This window comes from Homo sapiens, chromosome 6 (genome assembly GCF_000001405.40).
Source record: "Homo sapiens chromosome 6, GRCh38.p14 Primary Assembly".
NCBI classification, from domain to species: domain Eukaryota; kingdom Metazoa; phylum Chordata; class Mammalia; order Primates; family Hominidae; genus Homo; species Homo sapiens.
Genome location: NC_000006.12, coordinates 69,031,683 through 69,053,305, shown reverse-complemented (window position 1 = coordinate 69,053,305; position 21,623 = coordinate 69,031,683). Strand labels below are relative to the sequence as shown.

Sequence of the window (21,623 nt, the reverse complement as noted above, 5' to 3'; positions counted from 1 at the left end):
GGCAGGTCACCTAAGCGATAAGGATCTCAGTTCTCTTATCTATAAAATGAGAGTTCTAGCTCACACTAAACCCTAAAAGACCTTACAGCATTAATATCCTATGGTTCTATACATTTTTTTTTATGGAATCTTGCTCTGTCACCCAGTGCTGGAGGGCAATGGTGGGATCTCTGCTCACTGCAACCTCCACCTCTGAGATTCGAGTGATTCTACCACCTAAGCCTCCCAAGTATCTGGGACTACAGGCACACACCACCATGCACGGCTAATTTTTGTATTTTTAGTAAAGACGGGGTTTCACCATGTTGGCCAGGCTGGTCTTGAATGCATGACCTCAAGTCATCCACCCGCCTCGGCCTCCCAAAGTGCTGGGATTACAGGCGTGAGCCACCATGCCTGGCCCATCCATATTTTCTATCTATAAGAAATTATTCTGAAGAAGGAAGTTGAGAGGCTGAGAATAACACATATTTAGTATGGACTTCATCTGAAGCATATTTCCTTCAGTTGAAGTAACAATCTGAACCTACTTAACTTTAAAAGGGAAGACAATTGAATAGTAAAATAAAAATTGCAGCTCAAGGGACAGTTGAATGTATATTAGGGCTAAGAGAAGAAGAGAAATATCTCAATAAAAGAGAGAGTCAACATGCAAAATTATTTTTGTCTTTGTATGAAGGACAATTTCTAAACTATATTTATTCAAAGCATTACAGCAAGTCCTCCTTCATAGTCTCTATGAGAAAAATTATGAAAATTATTATACCAAAATATACCATTTCTGGAAACCTAACAGCAAAACTACTCTTATTATTTCTGTGTATAACAAACGTGGCTTCACATATTTCAACAGATAATTAGTAAAATCCTCAACAAGGAATATATTTTATAAAACTTTGTAAATAACTGAACACATAGAATGAATTTGTACTTTTTATGTTGAATAAGAAGATCTTTCCTATTGAGTTCAATTCACACAAACATATAGTAAAATTACAAAATACACATCTTTTAATCCTCTGGTCCTAAAATATTTTCATAGTACAAACATTAAACTTCTGTGTGCCTTATTTTTAAAGATGTCTTATATACGATATTTTATCAGATAGAAAAATTAATTATTACTGCGGTGGCTCATGCCTGCAATCTCAGCACTTTGGGAGGCCGAGGCGGGCAGATCACGAGGTCAGAAAATCAAGGCCATCCTGGCTAACATGGTGAAACCCCATCCCTACTAAAAATACAAAATTAGCCCGGCGTGGTGGTGGGCGCCTGAAGTCCCAGCTATTCAGGAGGCTGAGGCAGGAGAATGGTGTGAACCCGGGAGATCTTGCAGTGAGCGGAGATCGCGCCACTGCACTCCAGCCTGGGCAACAGAGCGAGACTCCGTCTCAAAAAAAAAGAAAATTAATTATTACAGAAAAAAATCCTTGACCATTTATTAAGAACTGTTCTGAGAGTTGCGATAGCAGGGGAAGTTTAAAAGAATTAATACAGTACTGTTAGCAGGGACGCTGCTCAGTAAATATTTGCTGAGTGACTGTAGAAAAAAGAATCACCCTTGTTCATTAAGAAGTATATTTTCATTTAGCAGACCTATAATTGGTGCAGTTACTCATTAGACTTTCTGGAAGAATGTTTTGAAAAGGAGAAAAACAAGCTCGAGGGTACTTAGTGGTCACATTATGTTACTTTAAGAGATAAAAGAAAATGAGAAGTAAACACTAGTACTTCACCTTTCTAAGAGTACTTAACAAATATTTCATCCTGAGCATTCTATTGTCCTTATATCTGGTCAATGATCTAAGCACTATTTAGTTGTCCTATAGACATTTACTAAATTACTTTATGGATACAAAGAATGTACAGGTAAACAAATTTGTAATTCTTATACAGAGGTTATTAAGGACTTCAATCTAAAGAATATGTAGAAACTTTCTGCAATGAAAATATAATTTCTGAAGGTGAAAAAAATTTTAAGTTCAATTACCACATTTTACTTATTAAAAAAAGTCAGTGACTTGCCCAGTGGTCTATCTGAATCCCTTTATGTTACACGTGGCATCAGGGGAGCCAGTCCATAAGACTAGTCTCTACTATATCCATTAAATCATCCATAATGTATCCATTAATCTATCCAGAAGCTGTAAGAGACAAACTGCCTCTGTCATGAAATTTTTTTTAAGTTGAAACACTAATTAAATGTTTCTTTTTCATTTTACAAAAAAGGCTGGGATCCCTTGGGAAATTTCCTGAGGAAATTTCCAATTATATTGACTGCATACATTTATAAAACTTGGAATAACCTGACTTCATTTGTGTAGGTGAGTGAGTGCTATGAGATTATATGGAACAAGATTATCATAATGCAACATTGCTGGACATCTAGGAGGGAAACTAATCTAAAAAATTTATGTTGAATATTTCATTTGTATTCACTATGTATCTCAAGAGCAAATAGGGAGAATGTAGCACATAAATACATTTCTATTTTAAAGTTGAACTGAAGGCACACAATTACTGAGTGACTGGACAAGTTTATAAAATTCTCAACATGTTTAATTGAAATGAAAACACAAGTCACCTGATTTTAAGTTAGTGTCTAGAGTTCTTAAAATATAAGCTTTATATAAACGAATTCCCTGTTGAAATAAGTGACTAACTTTGATTATCTGAACATTTTTAACTTTAGCATACCTCTCCTCAACATCAAACACAAAGATATAGGCAGTGTAACTATGACTAAATTTTATCTGTGAGTAACTGTAAATACCAATGAGTTTTAATAAAACCACTGGAAAAGCTGAGAGTAGACTTTTTTGTTTTCAAACTTTTTTCTTAGCAAAACACAAACACAAATAGATCCAAATTGAGGAAGTCTAAATTCTATTCAGAGGAGAAGGGAGGTAAATAAATTTCAGCTTCCCATGGCTGTCTCTATGGTTGAAGGAGACCCTGCATGACAACCACAGGGGCTCTGGATGACTCTCCACCTATATTAATAACGTGCTTCACGTAGAAAGATTTTCTCTAAAGATTCAAGCCTAATCACTGCTGCTTCCTTGGGTGATTTTTTTTTCATCTGCACTGAACTCTAATTGTTTTTATTTATTAGACTATTTGTTTTGTCCGCAGTATAACTGCACACATCATTTATATTCTTTCCTCTCCAAAAATGTAAAGCTTTATTTATGAGGGTATAACAAAGAAGTCCAACTGTGATCGTATTTAACTAAAACAACTTTATCTCTATCTTCCAAAACGAGGTGATGTGGAGAAACAGGTCACTATGAGTGATAACATCACAATCCAAGTAGATGTGAATGATGTTTTCTGTGAGATTTGGTATAGTAGATAAGACAGTAAAGCAAATAAGTTAGTTTTGGTAGAATTACTATTTGTAATTGCTTTTAATATCTGGGAGGAAAGAAATTAATAGATTTCTTCCAGAAATAGTCCTCTAAATAAACAGCAGCATTTTTTAAAAAAATGTAACTGTAATTGAAAATTTATTTCAAAGCAAACTAAGATCTTGTGCAAATAAACAATACCATGTTTTCCCAGTCATCATGACACTCCTTTAATTTCACGTCATGTTGATGAACAGTACCATTAAGTACAACTAAAGGGAGAAGACAGATCAATTTTACAATGACCCATTCTATTATAGACACTTGTGATTTTTCTTTTCTTTTCTTTTTTCTTTCAGTATCAAGGCAAGGCATTATCAGTTACAAAAGAATTTGCAGGGCTACAGTCAGACACCAAAATTATCTTTTCTAGTTGTTTTGAAATGCATAATTGCTAATAGCCTGTTCATTAAATTTGTATTTTCTATTTCATTTAAGAAAAATCCCTTCATATTACCACAGCTTGTTTGACTATTTTTATAGAATGAGCTATAATCACATTTTGGAATAATTTACAAAATTACAACAGTTTATTACTTTGTAGCTTACCTCAAAGTGGGCAAAATTAGATCTAAGTTTTTGTATAGGACTGCGCCAAGAACAAATACAGATGATTCATCTAATTCTAGAAAGAATAAATTTTGAAGTATTAGCAAACAGCAAGAAAATACTATGTCTTATAAAACTTTAATCTGCTAATTACAAGATAATTCCAGTACTTCCTTAGGCAAAGATAAAGCCTGGTAAAAAGAAATGCATTCCTAACCATGCACATTAATGGTAGCTCTCAAAGATGTGTTTTCTATAGTTTTGCATCACGAAGGAAACTTCCTTTACCAGGTTGAGACAAGAAGCTGCCTTAGTCTCCATTTAAGAGTTTAATTTCCCAACGATATCAGAAAAGAGAGCCAATTCTCTTTTGGATTTTTACCTTTTAAGGTCGACATCTGCAAAAGTGAGTACGATGTCACTTTTGAAAGGAGCCATTAATTTTAAAGGCTATTAAAAATGTTCTAAAAACTTAATTTTTTCTCAAATTTGTTTTCTTTTAAACTTTAAGTTCAGGAGTACATGTGCCGGTTTGTTACACAGGTAAACTTGTGTCGTGGGGGCTTGTTGTACTGATTATTTTATCATCCAGGTATTAAATTTGTTTTTGTATGCCAAAATAATATCTTCAAACCGAAGCAAATTTTAATGAGGCAGAAATAAAAATGACATTGCATGGAAAATACAACACATTTCAATAGCTAAAGGTAAAATATTAGTCCACATGCTTTATACGGGTATAAAACCATGAATATTGAAACTTGACCATGTCAAACTCAGGTCGATAATTTGCACTTGTATATTTTTCATACTGTAATAGACTGTTTTCTTCAGTAAATTTTCAGAGACTCTGAAACCGAGAATAAGTTGTCCATATTTAGAAAATTAGTTTAAAATAATGATTACAGACTATTTCTAAACTGTTTAATGTATGAAGATTTATACCTAATTTCTAATTAAATGACCTTATCAAAAATGTCTTGTTCAAGCTCATATTATTTCAGATATTTACCTTTTGATGACACCGGAGTGAAAATGCTTTTTGGAATTACTACCCTATCTTCTGAGTTTCTTGCCCAGTCAACCATTCCCTTCCGTCCTTTCATTGGAAAGTTGATGTCTGTTAGAACAGAGGCTGCAGGAAGCTTCTGAATACTAGCCACTATTAAAAAAGAAATAATAATTTCAATTAAACTTGCTTTACATTTTAGTGTAATCAGTGTTGATCAAGGTAAATCTTGCAGTATATTCAAAATAAAATTTCAAGTCAAAATTGTATTTATCAGAGCAACAAAATAACTTATGTCTTATTAGACAAAATTTCTCATTAAAGTTGCTGAATTTTACTTATCAGTCTTAGTTTTTGTTGCTTTCAGTGGGTATCATACAATGGTGGTCAATAATGGAGTGGATATTCTGAGAGTATTAACAGGCACTGCTATATTGATTGTTCATGGTTGGTCTCCATTTTAATTGTTAGAAACTCATACTGTATTTTTTAAAAACATTCTGATTAACAGACTTGAACTAATGGATTGAAATTTGCATTTAAACCTGAATTTTGTCTTAAGAAGAAATTTTCTGCATTTTCATTTGAACATTGTCTTTGGAACAAACTTTTCATGGATTAGATAGGGTACTCTGAAGAAATGGAGAACAAAGCCATATTACTTTGGGAGATAGAACTGTCAGAATCTATATAATAAAGGTACCAATAATGTCAGAGTTGCAAAACCAAAATAATATGTAGAAATAGTGATCAAATAGATTAATAATAATTCTTAAAACTTCTCTCTAAAATTGAAAGTAAAAATGTGTGTGTATAAATATATATTATATAAACAGAGAATTGTGTCCTTAATACCAATAAATATTATAATACATATCAGAAAATGTATGAATGATAAGTTTAGTAATACTTTAATATATTTTATTATATTTAATAGTTATATACAAATTTATATTACATATAAATTTATAATGTGTAATAAAACTATGATGATAAATACTCCAGCATGTCTAGATTATAAGCATTTTCAATAATGAAGTGTAATTTGTAAAACTTTTGGATAGGTCCACACTTGTTCTATATCATATTTTCAAGTGTCCCTTGGAGAACTTATATGGAAACATGATGCAGACAATTGTAAAAGCTATTGCAATTGAAAAGCTAAAGTAAAAATTCATTGGCTGGGTGCGGTGGCTCACGCCTGTAATCCCAGCACTTTGGGAGGCTGAGGTGGGTGGATCACGAGGTCAGGAGATCGAGACCATCCTGGCTAACATGGTGAAACCCCATCTCTACTAAAAATACAAAAAATTTTAGCCGGGCGTGGTGGTGGGCATCTGTAGTCCCAGCTACTCGGGAGGCTGAGGCAGAAGAATGGTGTGAACCCGGGAGGTGGAGCTTGCAGTGAGCTGAGATCAGGCCAGTGCACTCCAGCCTGGGCAACAGAGCAAGACTGCGTCTCAAAATAAATAAATAATTCATTACACTCCTCATAAGTGAATTTCATTTAAAAATTTGTAATTTAAATCAGGAGGATGAAAATTAAGAATTTAACAATATTAGTTGTATAAATATATTACTGCACTACTTAGTTTCAAATTAAATTGGTTATGTATTAGTATATCACATTAGTGAAATTGTACTTTATTAAAGTTCTTTCAGGTGATTAGTCATTCCATTATCAGCATAGGATGGTATTTCATTTATCCTCTAATATGACATACTAAGCTTTAAAAAGTACTTTGTAAGTAATGTTAAAAGAAAGAAGATACTGGGTAACACATAAATAAATTATAGATGTTAAATGCTGTTTCGGGATACCAGCTCTAACATAGTTTCTTTAAATTTTAAAACAATATACTTTTTGCTGTCCATAAATAATCCAGTTCATCTCTCCTGCAGGGTCCAAATCCCTGCTGTATATAGATGAGCAGGTCAGCAAGTTAGTAGGACATTCTTTCTTGAGTCCTCTAAGCATTATTCAATGTGTAGAATCACGTGTATCTACTGTTATATGCCTTAACTCTAACTTTTGATGTCTTGGGGTTTAGAGGAAAGTTATTTCACTTCTTTGCTCCAAAAACTGCTGAAAAGAAATAAAGATTTTCTGACTGCCATACAATTAGTTTCTATTATAAAAGAGAATAAAAGATACATTATTCGACCCTGAGGTCTAATAATTTCTCTGTCTCTATACACATTAGATGGAAAACAAAAAACAAACAGAAAGGCATAACCAGTGGATGATATTCTGTATGAACCATACATCACTTTACTCATAATAAATGCTCGTCTAATACCATATTCATAAATCCATAAATTGATATAGTTGTACATGCATGGGTCTTACTTTATGAAATACACTCATTCTTCAATTAGAGGTACGTTAGCTGTTAAATTATGATTATATAAATTAGACTGTACTTTTGAACATAGTCTAGATTAAAGGAATGGAAAAATCAATTAGGGTCACTAATTTATGCAATAAGTCCCTTAAATTGCATAGTTTTCAGTGTGAGAAGTGCACAAAAATAAACACGTATTTATTAACTACAGTAGGAATGTAATGGAGGTTTTTACTATTATAAGTATGTACACATTCTAAGTGGTTTGAGATGTCTGCATGGATGGTAACTAAGATCCTGAAATATGTCTGTTTCTTAAGGTATTTTATTTCATTTTATTTTTAATTAGAAAATCAAAATAGTGTATAATTATCATGTAAAGCATGTTGTTTTAAAATATGTATACATTGTGGTATAGCTAATTTGAGCTAATAGCATAAGCACTACCTCACATACTTTTCATTTTTTGTGTGGTGAGAACACTTAAAATCTACTCTCTTAGCAAAATAGTTCTTAAAGTAGTATGAATCTTTCAATAAATCCATTATGAAAAGTATATACTTTCATACACTGATGAGATTCAAATTATATCTGTGAAATTATCAATATACATGTTTTTACAAATATGAAATTTAAAGTTATACATATTTACCTCTACGCTAGATAGGCAGATGTCTAAAATAGCAATGTGGTTCTTTATGATCCCTTAGTAATAGATGAGAAAACCTATTTCCATGTAGCAAAGGTAATTTATAGATGACTTTTACTTCTTTTTCCAGTTCTTGTACAAGACACTAGAACAATCCGACCTTCAATCCCTTTCCTTCTTCAGAGTTTAACTGTCAAAACACTCAGGTAAAATTTTGATGCTGTTAACATCTTTAGGGAAATAGGAAGCTCATATGTTAAGTGAATACAAAAGAGGTAAGATTTAAAAACGTAATGCCTTAAACTACATGTAAGTAAATATGTGCCTCATGCTGATAAAGGGACATAAATAAAAAGCATAAGTGCATAATCTATATATCCTGCTTCTGTAACAATTCCTGAATTAAAACCAGTCATTGTGGGTGTTTAGAAGATGGGGCAGCTTTCTTCAAACATTGAAAAAAAGCCTTTCTTACAGAATATTAAAGTACTTAAAATAAATCTCAAAGGACTCAGTGTCCCTGAACAAATACGCACATCTTGAGTGCTACAAGAATTATCCTAAATTCACTGTATCGTGTTTTCATTACAACACTTGATTTGATTTCTTATGCAATAAAAATAGGTGACTCATCACTGATAAACCTTAGAGAAAAACCAGCTGCACTTCCATTTTGCAATTTTAATACTTTCATTTTGAATTTGGATAGGCAGCATAAAATTCCTTTAAGAGCATCATGTCTTTTATTGGCCAAACTTTCAAACGATTCAGGTTCAGTATAGATTTTTGTTCATCAGAAAGCATAGGGAATTTTTGCAGATAGGTTTAAAAGCACATGAGCTGTTTTTCTTGGTAACCAATGAGCACTTCTTTGATACATCAAAGCAGGATAATAATTCTAACCTTTTCCCTGAGGGAAATAATGAAATTTTGGCCCTTTGGCTGTATTGAGGTCCTGGAGGATGAGGAGTCTGTCTTATTCATCCTGGTTGTGAGTGGTTCACATACAAACTGGAGGTAATTTGATGCATCAGTTGCATTACAGAGAAGAATGGAAGGCATGTGAAAGAAAAAGTCTAGGAGCGAGAATGTAAGGGTGGAGGGATGAAGGCTGTAGGGATGAGCAAATTGGACAAAGACCAAAATATAAGAACAGTGGTCACTAGAGTAGCTCACACAGACTTATGATCTGGATCCAATATTCAAATCCCTGATTTTTTAGGGTAAGCATTTATCCTAGATTTTACAGATCTGTTCTGGTTTACTCCTGCTGCTTTGTTTTTGTTTTTGTTTTTGTTTTTTTGAGACGGAGTCTCGCTCTGTCGCCCAGGCTGGAATGCACTGGCGCCATCTCACCTCACTGCAAGCTCCGCCTTCCGGGTTCACGCCATTCTCCTCCCCCAGTCTCCGGAGTAGCTGGGACTACAGGCGCCCGCCACCACGCCCGGCTAATTACTCCTGCTGCTTTGTATACTTATTTATAGCATCCTCTATCAGTCTCAAAAGTTTCAGCTTGAAAGATAAATTCCATGTTCATCTTATAAGTTGTGCGACTGAGCAAATTGCCTAAACTCTCTGTGTCTCAATGTCTTTTTCTGTAACATGAGAACAATATTATCTATCTACCTCACTGAGCTGTTGGAGAGTAAAAATGTTACTATCAAGAGCTGAGAATAGTTCACCTAGAACAGTGTTTGGTGCTTGAATGGTCCCATGTCACTGTTGTCTATTATTACTGGAGCAGGTTTTCCAGTTATCAAATCCAAGAGAACTACCCCACAGTATGTCCACATCATTATAACATATTTGACTATGTAGCATACATTATTTTTTGGTTGTCCTTCAGTGATCCTAGGCATGAGATTATATATTCAAAACTTATGTTGATTATATTCATATAACAAAAGGCAGGAACTGCACTAAAAATAAATAGAGCTTCTCCTTTAGTACTGAAATGTACCACCTGGGAGTTACATAAGGGTTCCTTTTTACTTAATCTTCTTTTCTTTCTCTTTCTTTCTTTCTTTCTTTCTTTCTTTCTTTCTTTCTTTCTCTCTTTCTTCCTTTCCTTTTCTTTCCCTTTCTTTCTCTCTTTCTTCTTTCTTTCTCCTTCCTTCTTTTCTTGTCTCTTCTTTTTTCTTTCTTATAGAATCTGCCAGAGGGAAGGGGCTGCCTTATTTGGGAACACAAGATCAGCCAGGTTAAAAAAATATCTTGCCTCAATAGAGTGAGAGAATCACTGCATCAAGAATGTCAAATTCAGTATTTCCACTGCAGCCAAGACCATAAACTGCAAAGAGCATTTCAAAAGGATTGCATTTAAGCATCAGACTAAGTGGTAAACGCAGTAACTCAAGTTCCACAGCACTCAGTTGATTAAAGGAAACACTCACGCAATGGCACCTCATCACCATAAACAAATGTTGAAGGGGATACAAAATAACTTTAAAGGCTGTCTTAAAAACTGTCCTTTTTATTGTGGCCTTATACTGATGTTTTCAATATATTTGAAGTTTGCATCATTTTTCATGTTGATACAGAGGGAACAACTTACAAATGGAACCTTGTCTCATCAATAGTAGAAAATTGCCCAGTTATCAAAATGGAATTGCTTGTGGAAAACATGACTCAATATCACTAGATGGTCACCTGTACTGTTTTGAAATTCTGTAAGAAAAATATAGGGTCAGGAGAGAACGATGCATTGCCTCAGTGTGTTAGAAAAGCATCTATTTGTTTTGTTAGTGTATCCATACCAAGCACACAGGGACTGAACTGAATCTACATGTAGCATTACCCCCTTGGCATTAACAATTTCTTTTTAAAACATGACTTATATATTTACATAGCAATGCTAAGTACCTTGTAAAATACTAAAGGCATCTGGAAGGGAAGGGAAGGATAGCTAACATCTATTGAACGCTTGTATGAGTCTGGTAATCTTCATTCATTTCTTACTTCATTCAACAGTATTTACCAAATGCCTCCTCTGTGCTAGGCACTGTTCCTAGCACAGCATTTGGCCAAATGCTTTACACACGATATCTTAGTGTATTAGGCTGTTCTCGTGTTGCAATAAAGAACTGCCTGACACTGGGTAATTTATAAAGAAAAGAGGTTTAATTGACTGTCAGTTCTGCAGGGCCATGGAAGCTTCAGGAAACTTACAATCATGGCAGAAAGGGAAGCAAACATGCATGTCCTTCTTCACGTGGCAGCAGAGAGAGAAATGAATGCCCAGTGAATGGGGAAGTCCTTTATAAAATCATCAGATCTCATGAGAACCAATTAATTATCACGAGAACAAGATGGGGTGAACCACTCCCATGCTACAATTATCTCCACCTGGCCCCTCCCAGGACACATGGGGATTATGAGAACTACAGTTCAAAATGAGATTTGGGTGGGAACATGGCCAAATTATATCACTTAGTTAACATTTAAAACATCATGGCCAGGCATGGTGGCTCACATCTGTAATCCTCACATGTTGGGAGGCCAAGGCAGGAGGATCCCTTGAGCCCAGGAGTTCAAGTCCAGCCTGGGCAACATAGTGAGACCCCATATATATTTGTCAGGCATAGCTTTGCACACACAGCACACACAGCCTACTAGGGAGGCTGAGGCGGGTGGATCCCTTGAGCCCTGGAGGTCAAGGCTGCTGTGATTGTACTACTGCTCTCCAGCCTGGGCTACAGAGTGAGACTCTCAAAAAAAAAATTCCTACGAGCTATCTTTATTAGCAACATCTTTATCATTATTATCAAGATGCTCATTTTACAAATGAGGAGGCACACTGTGATTTTGCACTGTGTGGTGCAATGTGATTTTATGTATCAAATTGACAGCAAATTTATTTTGCCTCGTAACATTTTCTACTATGTATAAAAGACAGACATAATGATTTCATCTGAGAAATAAAATTCTCACTTATCAATCAGGAGATCATAACTATACCAGTAAAGAGTGGTGGTTATCAAAAGGGGAAATATATATATGCTCAGTTTAATTTGCCTAGCACAATCTTTATGTCTATGAAAAATCGTATTTTAGGATTTTGCAACAGTGATCTATAAGAAACATTCAGTTATCTACACAGACATTTCTACTAGTCCTCTGCACCCTACTCTCCTCATCTATTATTATCTCTTTCCCAAAAGGCTGGGATTGAAATGTTCAGGACAGAGAAAAAGAATAGGATTGCTGGAGAGTAACATGTAGCCATCACTTCCCTGGAAACAAAGCAGCTTAGGAGGGCATCTCCAAGGACCACAGTGCCCGAGAGAGTTCTAACAGCTCGATCTCCACCATCACCATTACATAGGTTAAGATCTCCAAGTTCCAGAAGTATCCTCACACAGAGCTTTAGATGGGAAACATTCTTCACCTTAGGAGTTTATACTTAATTTTTAAAGAGAAAGATTCTTTGATACTCAAAAGTACACAGACTAAAAGGCCAGTCAAGAAAGTAACTATGTAGCATTTTATGTGTTCATTTTTGAACTTGTTAGTTTTTAATAATGTAATATGTATATAGAAACTTTACTTAGCTATTTTGCATATTCCTTTTAGCATAGAAATGGTAAATAAACTTGTAAATTATTTGTGACTCATCAACTTCAAATTCTTGTTTGTTTTTTTTTTTTTTTTTTTTTTTTTTTTTTTTTTGTCCATCAGTCATTTCAAAGCCTGGGCATCTCTGGGTAGTGGGGCACATTTTTGCCTTTTGCTCAAGGGCTCTTTGCTAGACTTCAGTGCTCTCCATTGAGGACTCCCTCGGCTTCCTCTCAGGCCACTCCTACTTTCTCAGCATTTAATAATGTTGGTATACAGGGTGAATCCAGAGCCATATACCCAACTCTTGTAAGTTTTATTGGCATGCAGCCACACCTATTCACTTACATATTGTGAAAGTTGTCTAAATCGAAATGGAGTCACCTGCGTGAAGGAAAGAAAGAGAGAGAAGGAAAGAAAGAAAGAAAGAAAGAAAGAAAGAAAGAAAGAAAGAAAGAAAGAAAGAAAGAAAGAAAGAAAGAGACAGAGAAAGGAAGGAAGGCAAAAACCTGACAATAGAGTGGGGGAAAGCGATGAAGACAGGATTCTGATGCATAAATGCCTGATAAGAAGAAGAATCACAAAAGCCTACAAAACCCACAACCTTACACAAAGGTCACTAAGACTTTACACAAAAATATGCTGCTGCAACAATAGCTACCCAGCAACTGTCTGTCTAACCTCAGACTGGCACCACTCTCATTATTGATCCTCATATATAAATATAATTATCTCAAAACGATTATGTAGGGCCGGGCATGGTGGCTCACACCTGTAATCCCAGCACTTTGGGAGGCCGAGGCGGGCGGATCACGATGTCAGGAGATCGAGACCATCCTGGCTGACACAGTGAAACCCCATCTTTATTAAAAATACAAAAATTAGCTGGGTGTGGTGGCACGCGCCTGTAGTCCCAGCTACTCGGGAGGCTAAGGCAGGAGAATGGTGTAAACCTGGGAGGCAGAGCTTGCAGTGAGCCGAGATTGCACCACTGCACTCCAGCCTGGGCAACAGAGCAAGACTCCGTCTCAAAAAAAAAAAAAAAAAGAAAAAAACAATTATGTAATCTTCCTCATTTTTCCTTTAAAAACCATTATCTTCCTTTCCTATTCTGAATATGCACATAGTTTACTATGGCATGCTAATTCTCATTGCAATGCCCATTCATGAATAAATATTTTTATTGTAGAGAGCCTCTCTCTTTTTGTTATTTAGATTGACAATGTTGTTCCTGTCTACTTTCATGCTACAATGGCAGAGTTGAGTAATTGCAATGGAGACTATGTGGCCCATAAATCCTAAGATATTTACTATCTATCCCTTTACAGAAAAAGCTTGCCTACATCATCTTAGACATACGGTAGCCCTCCCCTTATCCACAGAGGATATGTTCCAAGATCTTCAGTGGATCTCCAAAACCATGGATAGTACCAAACTATATATATAAAATTTCTTTTTTCTTCTTCACAACTTCAAGGATAAAAGATTCATTCTTATCATAGATCTTAGCAAACTAAACATATGTTTTTTTTTTTTTCTTTCCTTATTACCTTGGAAACTTTAACTTTTTTCCTTAAAATAAGTACTTTGTTCTTTCTCTTTGGCATATCCAATTGCCAGTATCACTACTCTTTGGAGCCATTATTAAGTAAAATAAGGGTTTTACACAAGTACTGCTATACCTTGACAGTCAATCTGATAAACATGCTGGCTACTAAGTGACTAATGGGGGCATAGAATAGACAGTGTGGGCATGCCAATCAAAGGGATGATTCACATTTGGGGCAGGATAGAGTGAGATGGCATGAAATTTCATCATGCTACTCAATGGCACACAACTTAAAACTTATAAATTGTTTATTTCTGGAATATTTTCATTTAATATTTTCAGATTACAGTTGATAGTGGGTAATTGAAACCAGGTAAAGCAAAACCTTACATAAGAAGGAACTACTGAACCTTGAACAGGCTATTTTTGAAGATGATAATTATTCTTTAAAGAGAAATATCATTTAAGACTTCTTAGTTTTGTCACTTATTTTGTTATCTATTGAATGCTTATTCTTTTTATGCTACACATAATATAATGGGGAAATGTAAGGTGATTATAGCACCTTCCTTTTAGTTTTCAAGAAGAGTAAGTTTTATGGTCTTTTAGAAACAGATCCTTGTAAATGTTCATCTTCTTTACACAAGTAATTCATGATTTCAATCCAAACATGAACACAAAATAAAATGTGGTAGAATTCATTTTTGTATGTTTCTCTGAAGATTAAAAACAAATCAATATGGGAAATGCCTTAGGAAATAAATTCCCCCTCTTTCCTCAGAAAGTAAGACTAAGAACAGCATTCCTGCAGAGGAAAGAGCATTAGATGATAATAAACCAAGTACAAAACAAAGAGCTTGTGTATATACAGCATTATTAACTCACTGTGGTGTGTGTGTGTGTGTGTGTGTCTGTGTATTCATGATATCATATTTGATACTCAAGGTTGTTCAAACCTTATTAGAGAAATAAATCAGGAATCTAAGAGGAGTTAGGCACCAATGCAGGCAAAAAACAACAGGAGGCAAAAATACAAGGGCTTCCCAAGACAGCAAATCACTCATTCCCAGAAGAGCAGTGGCAATGAAAACTGTTATAACTTAACAAAGGAAAAGAGATCATTGTAGACAGAAGAATTCATTCTATACATGTATTTATCCAACAAACCTCTATTGAGCCCCTACAGTATTCCTTGGGCTATCCTAGCAATTAAGAATTTAACAAATGAACAAATACACCTGTGAAAAAAGTCTCCATCCTCATGGACTGGCATAGTATTTGGGGAGACACAGACAAGGAACAAATAAACAAAATGAGATAGAAGGTCAGTAATGATAAATGAAAGACAATGATGGATTTGGCTTGGGAAGCTATACTAAATAGAGAAAGCTTTTCATGTAAGCTGACATTTGTGCCGACACCTAAAAGAAGTCAGGTGGGAAGCTATGAAGATATTGAGAAAATGACACAATAGAGCAAGAACTTAGGAAAGACCCACTTTTAGAGGATAAAGGGAAATAAATAGGGAAAGATACCACCAAAATAAATGGTGAGAGACAGAAAGAGAGACAGGCAGAGAGAGAGAGAGAGAGAGAACAACAACACCACATTAACTTAGAAAGGGATAGTTTAATAATGAGAGGATGGTTTTATAAGAAGTCAAAGGCTTTATAAGGATTATATAGAATGAAGAACAGCCATTGGATTCAAAAAATGAAAAACACACTCTAAAATTAGTTTTAGGTTTAAATCATGCTCTATAGCATGAGTTGACAAACTCCTTTCTACAATGAGCTAAAACAGAAATATTTTCAGTTTTGTGGGCTATCAGGCTTCTGTTGCAACTACCTAACTCTGCAATTATGATGTGAAGGCAGCCACAGACAATTCATAAATAAATGATCATGCAAGGAAATATGGTATTTAATCATATAAGCAAAGCCAATATTGAGATTCTTTAATTCAACAAACGTTTACTAATTAGAATCCTTTATTTTCCACTACCAAAGCACTTTCTTCTGCAGTCTTTCCCATCTTACTAGAAGGTGCCACCATGTACTCAGACATTCAAACCACACATCTGGGGGTCATTCTTTACTATTGATATTTTCGCCCCCTACAACCCACCCATCAACATGTCTTCTTGCTGTCATTTCTGGAACATGTCTCCAATCACTGCATTTCCCTCTGTCTCCATACCATAACCTGCCAAAAGCCACCAGAATCTCTCAACTGAATTAATTTAAGAGCTGTCTGACTGGCTTTCTTTATTCTACTCCTGCCCCTAAATTCTTTCTCTCATAAACCATTCTTAAATATAAAGCAGATTATGACTTTTTCTTACTTGAAATAATTCAATGGCTGGCCAGCGCTCCTAGAAAAAAATCCAAATTTTATGCCTTGACCTACAAAGCTCTGCATGGCTTGGCTCTGTACGTCTCTGCGGTCACATTATGCATGGCTGTCTTGTTTGGTGACCATGACTAAGATGCACAGATCTTTTCTACCACAGGGCTTTTTCTTTCTAACTAGAACATTCTTTCCTTGTACTTATCCATGGGTCTCCGCTAAATTATTTTTTCCTTAGCTTGGTCTGTCCTAACTACCCCATATAAAGATATCCAAGCCCCCATTTCTCTCTATTATGTAATTTTTTTTTTACATAGACTTACTCATTTTCTGCCTCCCACGCTAGACTTTAAATTCCAAAAGGATAGGCATTTTTCTGTATATTGTTACGTGCTAAGATCTTAGCATATAGTGAGTTTGGTGCAATAACTGTCCACATTTTTTTTAATAGATGAGGTTTAACAAGGGCTTAATTAGAGGCAGTGAGTTTAATATGATCAATTTGTGCCCTGGAGTCAACCAGGACTAGTTTTCCATTTACTTTGTGAACTTTGGCAAGTCATTTAATTGCTGTTCACTTTGACCATCTGTAAAAATCAGTAACCTTTCATTAGGATTAAGTTGGAGGCAGTTAACTCACTCCTTGTACACAGATTCAATTCATGCCAACTCTTTTTTATTCTTCACTTTAACCATTCTCTGCCTTGTATAAAATGCTGTGGAAGATCCGAAATTGAGAAAGAAAGAGTCCTTGCATTTAAAGAGATTACAATGTAGTGAAAGACATACTTCACACAGTATCTTAAGTATGGCCATAATAGGGATAAGACATTTTCTTCTTAACTCCAGACCTAATACTAAACTGTCTACTTGGACTTTTTCATTGAATTTCTTCAGGCATCTCAAATGTGATGTATCCAAAGCTTAACTCTGGATTTCCACCCACTCTTCATCAAAATATGCATTCCCTGTGTAATCTTTCCCATTTCCATAAATAGCACCTCTATCGACTTTACTCAAGCCAGAAATCAGTGTTACCCTTGACATATCTATGTCCTCACTTCTTGAATCCAATTCATCATTGTACTTACAGTTTCACTTCTAAAACATAGCTTAAAGTTGTCTTCTCATGCCCACCTTGACTGTCACACATTAGGCCATCAGACCCTATCTAAATTAAAACAACTCACTATGTTCCCTGCTTCCATTGTTGTGCCTTTCCTATTCATTCTCCACAATGCAGTCAGCATAGGTTTTAAGTATAAATTGAATCATGTTACTCCCAGGTTTCCCGTTATACTTGTATAAAATAAGAAATCCTTTTCAGGGTCTCCCCATCCTGGTCTCTAACTTCTTCCTCTATGTTAGCTCTTGACCTTTTACATTAACAATTACTCTTCAGTCATACTTTCAGTCTTTCATTTCAACCAACTCCTCTCTTGACTAATTATTATATCAGGTCCTGGCTTGTTTATGGATCTGTAGATACTTACTTCATCTTACTAAAATAAAACAAAAACAAACAAAAAAAGCAAAAAACCCATAGGTCCTATACCTTTTTCAAAATAGGGAGAACTGAAGTATGTGTGCCTAACCAAATGTAATTTTTTGAAGAGAGAAAAGGGGCAATAGCAGCAATAGAAGACACCATTTACTAAGCATTTAAATCCTCATACCAGCGAATTACCTCATTTGATGCCACAACACACTCTGAACCAGGCACAATTAATTATATTTTATAGACTAATTTTGGATCATAAAGAAGCAAAAACATATCTTAATGGTATTATAGTAGAAATTCATGAGTTTATCATTGGAATTATAAACAAAGGATGATGACTAATAAAATTAACACATCAACTCTATATTTGAAAACATCATGTCTTTCCCATATGAAGCAATAGACTATTAAGGACACTAAAGTTCAGAAAATAATTTTGGTCTTTGGATTATTAAACAAACAAATCCTCAAACAAACAATAGCTTACTCTCCAACCCCACAAACACACACTCTATGATCAAATTGAGTGTTCTATTTCACTTTATATAGTTATGCTCTTTTTAACTATATAAAATTTACCAGTGAACACTAATTGAGTTCCACTAACACTAAATGAGTGATGGTTTTGACTCCTTTTAAAACCATCCTCTCATTATTAAACTATCCCTTTCTAAGTTAATGTACTGTTGTTCTCTCTCTCACTCTCTCTCTGTCTTCCTCTCTGTCTCTCTCTCTGTCTCTCACCATATAGTTATATATTTATAGCTATATAAATATATAGTTATAATTTATATATAGCTATAATTTATAAAATATATAGCTATATAATTTATATAATTATATGTAGTATAAAATAAATTTATAGCTATATAAATTTTATATAGCTAAAAAGAGCATATCAACCAATTATAATTTTGTTTCACCTATGTAGTCTAAATTATATTACAAAATAATACATTTGCTTCTCTGTTAAGAAATTATTTAAAAATAAATATTCCATATTTCTAAAATTCTGTGATTTTAAAGATATTTTAGATTTTCAGAATACATTTTAAATACTATAGATGTTATTTGGGGGCAATAAGGTAAGTATTTGGAGTTAGGGAAAATTAAAAGACAAACAATCAGGGAATTAATTTGGAAAAAGCAAAAGGTGACTATGTAGAAAGTAGAGAGGAAGGTCAGACTCTGTAATAAAAAGTACAGATTCTTCAAAAGGAGGAAGGTTCATATTTCAAAGAGGAAAACTATAGCTAAATGGATATTGAAGATGCTTACTAAACATTTTATAGTAATAAAGAAAATGCTTTAGTATCTTAGTCTCAATTATGTATTCCCACTTCATTTGAGAACCCTGTTAATAAATTCAATGAGTCAGGTTTTGTCTGAATTCAGAATATATATTTGGGAATATAACCTATTATCCAATATAAATCACTCCCTTGTGAACAGTTCGCTTCTACTTTGTAGTCATCAGCTATGCCTTCAATACAGTACTGTCCAGTATAGACAATTATAAACCCCTTAAATCTTGTTATTGTAGGATTCTCAATTCAGTTTAACTTTCATTAAAACGTATCTTCATTCTTTAATGTAACTTTGAAAAAAGCCACCTAACTTTTCCTTAAGCCTGTAGTATGAATTTTAACGATATCTAAAACAACTGCATATCTGGTTCAAACACTGATAAATATTTTAGAAGATAAACACACAAAAACACATTTGTACCTGCTCTCTCATGTACATATGCCACATGTCAAAACAAAAGACCAAATTAAAAAAATATGCTAAACTAGCCATATAAGAAATTATTTATATTTCTAAAGTTAAAGCTGTTCATATGGAAAATTTAATTGCATTGCAAAAGAATGAAAATATTTTTGACTATTCAAAAGACTTCAGTTAAGGATAAAAATGAACTAATTCATTTATAAATTTCAGAGAATGTAGCAATACTACATAATTATTTGATGCATTTATAGAGATAATTGGCGAAATTTTGCAGATGATAGTTGATGGAGTATATGTTAAGGAAAAAAATACAAAATTAAAGCAGAAACTATTTATTTGTATGAATCATTCAAGAGAGCTAGGATCTGACTAATGACAAATAACTACAAAGAAGAATAGCTTTTTAAGATAGCAAAATGCCAAATGCCATTGAAATCTTCATGGGCCCTAACTGCCATTACACCACAGAAGACAACCATAAAACAGCTAGACAGCACATATTGTTTTCTAGATTGGTCATAATATCTGCCTAGAAGTCTGAGATCTGGGTCTTCTTTGTAAAGTACACAATAAGTATAATATTTATATATTTTTTAAAATGTAGGATACTAAACTTAAGTAGGAACTCTGCAAGTTCCCTAGAGGAGTGGACTGTGGCTGCAAGGGACTGAGTGGCTACTCAGTAACCAAAGTCACATATCAAATCAGTAGCACAGCCCATATTTGGCCTTGTGTTTGTATGTGCTAAATATATGTTACCTTTAATCTTGACAACTATACAGGAGAGATAACTTCCAGAAGGCTAGTTAGTCATGGTATAGTCAAGGTTTGCAGCCAGATGTCTAACTCCAAAGCTAGCATGTTTTAAAAGATACAAAAGGGCATCCCTATTTGCACTGACATAAAAGCACAGTCTTCAATCTGAGCCAGAATTTTTAGTTTTCAAATTCACATGAATACTTATTTATTTGGAATTCAGTGAAGGAAGCAAAGGAGGAAAGGAATAATTTAGTCCAGATTTCTTGGTATAACCAAACAAAATAAGATTTTTGAAAAGGTGAAATGAAATAGAAAAAGAATGAAAATTTGTTAAAGGGAGTCAATACCTCTTTTCTCTTCACGGGTTATTGTTAAATAGGCAGACCACTATTTCCATAGAGATGAGCAATTATTGCCATAGAAACAGTTAAACTGGGATTGTTTTTTATATTTACACAAACTCACAGCAGCATCCTTCTAGTTCATTTGTAGAGCAAAATTGAAAAGAAGGCATATAGCGTGATAACTTTACTAATTTCAAATCATTGCAATACAAAACCAATAAAAATCAGAAGTAATATTTTATAAAATTCAAAATTTGTTTTCAATTGACTTTAGATTTCACCTTCCCATTTATGTTATTGGTGTGACTCTACCAGATTTTGAAGGAGTTTATCTCGGAAATAACAATGAAGTCAACTGGGGAAGACCTATAATTCCAAGATCTTTCATATACAAGGTCTCCAGGGAAATAGAAAGCCACTTGCCACCTAGTTTCCCAAACAGTCTTTTTGCTCAATCCTATTTTTAAGAAAATTTTCCTAGTTAAAGTCCTCTGAAGATCTCTTGAACTGAGGCAAACCACCAACCCCTTTACGCAACACTTCTCTTTATACCTTCCCTAGGGCACACAGGTCATCAAAAACTTTTTTTGTAGAAATTCAAGCTCTTCATAGAGAATAAAGAAAACTGCCAGAACAGTCGCTCACATCTGTAATCCCAACACTTTTGGAGGCCAAGGTGGGAGATCTCTTGAGTCCAGGAGTTCGAGACTAACCTGGGCAACATGGCAACCCAGTCTCTACCAAAAATACCAAAATTAGCCTGGCGTGGTGGCGCATGACTGTAGTCCCAGCTACTCAAAAAGCTGAGGCAGGAGTATCACTTGAGCCCAGGAGGTGGAGGTTGTAGTGAGCTGAAGTCATGCCACTGCACTCC

The 21,623-nt window shown here is 34.6% G+C and overlaps 1 protein-coding gene across 1 annotated transcript in view; it reads right to left on the bottom strand.

The window, feature by feature from the left end:
* The window catches only part of ADGRB3 (adhesion G protein-coupled receptor B3), a 754,225-nt gene that overhangs the window by 336,201 nt on the left and 396,401 nt on the right, over positions 1-21,623 (bottom strand). Inside the window, exons 14-15 of the mRNA NM_001704.3 lie at positions 4,972-5,121; positions 3,960-4,035 (exon numbers count right to left, since the gene is read on the bottom strand). Of these exons, the coding sequence (NP_001695.2) occupies positions 3,960-4,035; positions 4,972-5,121 (226 nt within the window). The remainder of the gene's footprint in view (positions 1-3,959; positions 4,036-4,971; positions 5,122-21,623) is intronic.